A 3,714-nucleotide genomic window follows, 5' to 3' on the forward strand; every position below is an offset into this window, starting at 1 on the left:
ATCCCCAGCATTGCTAGAGACCTAGACATCCAAATACAAGAAGCACATAGAACACATCAGAAATTCATCACAAAAAGATCTTCTCCTAGGCACCTTGTCATCAGGTTATCCAAAGCTAAGATGAAGGAAAGAATTTTAAGATCTGTGAGACAGAAGCACCAGGTAACCTATAAAGGAAAACCTATCAGATTAACTGGAGATTTCTCAGCAGAAACTCTACAAGCTAGGAGGGATTGGGGCCCTATCTTCAGCCTCCTCAAACAAAACAATTATCAACTAAGAATTTTGTATCCAGAGAAACTAAGCATCATATATGAAGGAAAGATACAGTTGTTTTCAGAAAAACAAATACTGAGAGAATTCGCCATTACCAGGCCACCACTATAAGAACTGCTAAAAGGAGTTCTAAATCTTAAAACAAATCCTAGAAATACATCAAAACAGAACCTCTTTAAAGGATAAGTCACACAGGACCTATAAAACAAAAATACAAGTTAAAAAGCAAAAACAGCAACAAAAAAACAAAGTACACAGGCAACAAAGAGTACGATGAATGCACAGTACCTCATATTTCAATACTAACATTGAATGTAAATGGCCTAAATTCTCCACTTAAAAGATACAGAACCTCAGAATGCGTAAGAACTCACCAACCATCTATTGCCTTCAGGAGACTCACCTAACACGTAAAGACTCACATAAACTTAAAGTAAAGGGGTGGAAAAAGGCATTTCATGCAAATGGACACTAAAAGTGAGCAGAGGTAGCTATTCTTATATCATGCAAAACAAACTTTAAAGCAACAGCGGTTAAAAGAGACAAAGAGGGACATTCTATAATGGTAAAAGGCCTTGTCCAACAGGAAAATATCACAATCCTGAACATATATTCACCTAACACTGGAGCTCCCACATTTATAAAACAATTTCTACTAGACCTAAGAAATGAGATAGACAGCAACACAATAATAGTGGGGGACTTCAGCACTCCACTGACAGCACTAGACAGTTCATCAAGAGAGAGAGTCAACAAAGAAACAATAGATTTAAACTATACCTTGGAACAAATGGACTTAACAGATATATACAGAACATTTCATCCAACAACTGCAGAATACACATTCTATTCAACAGCACATGGAACTTACTCCAGCATAGACCATATGATAGGCCATAAAACTGTTACTGGGGAGTCCTTGCTCCCAGAGCTCCCAAGATGGTGGGGGGCCGTTTCCAAGATGGTGGCAAGCCTCGTGTTCTCTGACGTGGGGTTCTTGGCCTCACAGATTCCAAGGAACGGAATCTGGGGCCATGCAGTGAGTGTTATAGCTCTATTAGAAGCCTTGGGTCATGGAAGAGAACTGTGGAACCCAGTGACTAGTGTTCAGCTCGATTAGGATGAACCTGGGCACTTAGCTGTGCAGGAACAATGGCAAGCCTTTAGCCCGATCGGGGGCGGCAATAGGCACCTCGCTGGATCAGAAGCACAGTGGACACCCTGCCTGATCTGGAGGGATGGAAGTCAGCGGCAGGTCTGCGACGGTGGCAGACAGCAGTGGTGGATGGTGATCGAAAGCTCAGCTCGAGCAGTAACAAACATGGACCAGAAGAGAGTGCAGTTGCAAGATTTAATAGAGTGAAAACAGAGCTCCCATACAAAGGGAGGGGACCCAAAGAGGGTAGCCATTGCCGGCTCGAATACTTGGGTTTAGATCCCGATCATTGTCCCTCCCACTGTGCTCTCAGGCAGTAGATGATTGCCTATTTCTTTACCTCTTGTTTTTGCCTAATTAGCATTTTAGTGAGCTCTCTCTACTACCTGATTGGTCGGGTGTGAGCTAAGTTGCAAGTCCCATGTTTAAAGGTGGAAGCGGTCACCTTCCCATCTAGGCTTAGGGATTCTTAGTTGGCCTAGGAAATCCAGCTAGTCCTATCTCTCAAAACGAGCCTCAATAAATTTAAGAAAATTGAAATTATATCAAGCATTCTCTCAGACCACAGTGGAATAAAACTGGAAATCAACTCCAAAGGGAAACTTCAAAACCATGCAAATACATGGAAATTAAATAACCTGCTCCTGAATGAGCACTGGGTCAAAAACAAAATCAAGATGGAAATTAAAACATTCTTGAACTGAATGACAATAATGGCACAGCCTATCAAAACCTCTGGGATACAGCAAAGGCGGTGCTAAGAGGAAAGTTCACAGCCCTAAACGCCTACATCAAAAAGTATGAAAGAGCACAGACAGACAATCTAAGGTCACACCTCAAGGAACTAGAGAAACAACAAACCAAACCCAAATCCAGCAGAAGAAAAGAAATAACCAAGATCAGAGCAGAACTAAATGAAATTGAAACAAAAAGAAATCATACAAAAGATAAATGAAACAAACATCTGATTCTTTGAAAATATAAATAAAATCGATAGACCATTAGAAGATTAACCAAGAAAAGAAGAGGTAAAATCCAAATAACCTCACTAAGAAATGATGCAGGAGATTTTACAACTGACACCACTGAAATGCAAAAGATCATTCAAGGCTACTATGCACACCTTTACGCACATAAACTAGTAAATCTAGAAGAGATGGTTAAATTCCTGGAAAAATACAACCCTCCTAGCTTAAGTCAGGAGAAATTAGATACCCTGAACAGACCTCTAACAAGCAGCGAGATTGAAAGGGCAATTTAAAAATTTCCAACAAAAAAAGTCCAGGACTAGACAGACTCACAACAGAATTCTACCAGACATTCAAAGAAGAATTGGTATCAATCCTTTTGACACTATTCTACAAGATAGGAAAGAAGGAAACCTCCCTAATTCATTTTATGAAGGCAGCATCACCCTAATACCAAAAACCAGAAAAGGATATAACCAAAAAAGAAAACTACAGACCAATATTCTTGATGAACATAGTGCTAAAATCCTGAACGAAATACTGGCTAACCAAATCCAACAACATATCTAAAAGATAATGCACCATGATCAAGTGGGTTTCATACCAGGGATGCAGGGATGGTTTAACATATGCAAGTCAATAAATGTGATACACCACATAAACAGAATTAAAACAAAAATCACATAATCATTTTAATAGATGCAGAAAAAGCATTCAACAAAATCCATCATCCTTTTTTTTTTTTCTTTGAGACAGACTCTCACTCTGTCGCCCAGGCTGGAGTGCAGTGGCACGATCTCAGCTCACTGAAACCTCTGCCTCCTGGGTTCAAGTGATTCTTGTGCCTCAGCCTCTCGAGTAGCTGGGATTACAGATGTGTGCCACCACGCCTAGCTAATTTTTGTCTTTTAGTACAGATGTCTTTTTGTCTTTCACCGTGTTGGCCAGGCTGGTCTCGAACTCCCAACCTCAGGTAATCCGCCTGCCTCAGCCTCCAAAAGTGCTGGGATTACACACATGAGCCACTGTGCCCAGCCTTATCATCCCTTTATGATTAAAACTCTCAGCAAAATCGGCATACAAGGGACATACCTTAATGTAATAAAAGCCATCTGTGCTAACCCACAGCCATCATAATACTGAAAGGGGAAAAGTTGAAAGCATTTCCCCTGAGACTGGGAACAAGATAAGGATGCCCACTCTCACCACTCTTCTTCAGCATAGTCCTGGAAGTCCTAGCCAGAGCAATCAGATGAGAGAAAGAAATAAAGGGCATCCAAATCATCAAAGAGGAAGTCAAACTGTCACTGTTTG

Source organism: Homo sapiens, chromosome 12 (assembly GCF_000001405.40).
Source record: "Homo sapiens chromosome 12, GRCh38.p14 Primary Assembly".
Classification (NCBI taxonomy): domain Eukaryota; kingdom Metazoa; phylum Chordata; class Mammalia; order Primates; family Hominidae; genus Homo; species Homo sapiens.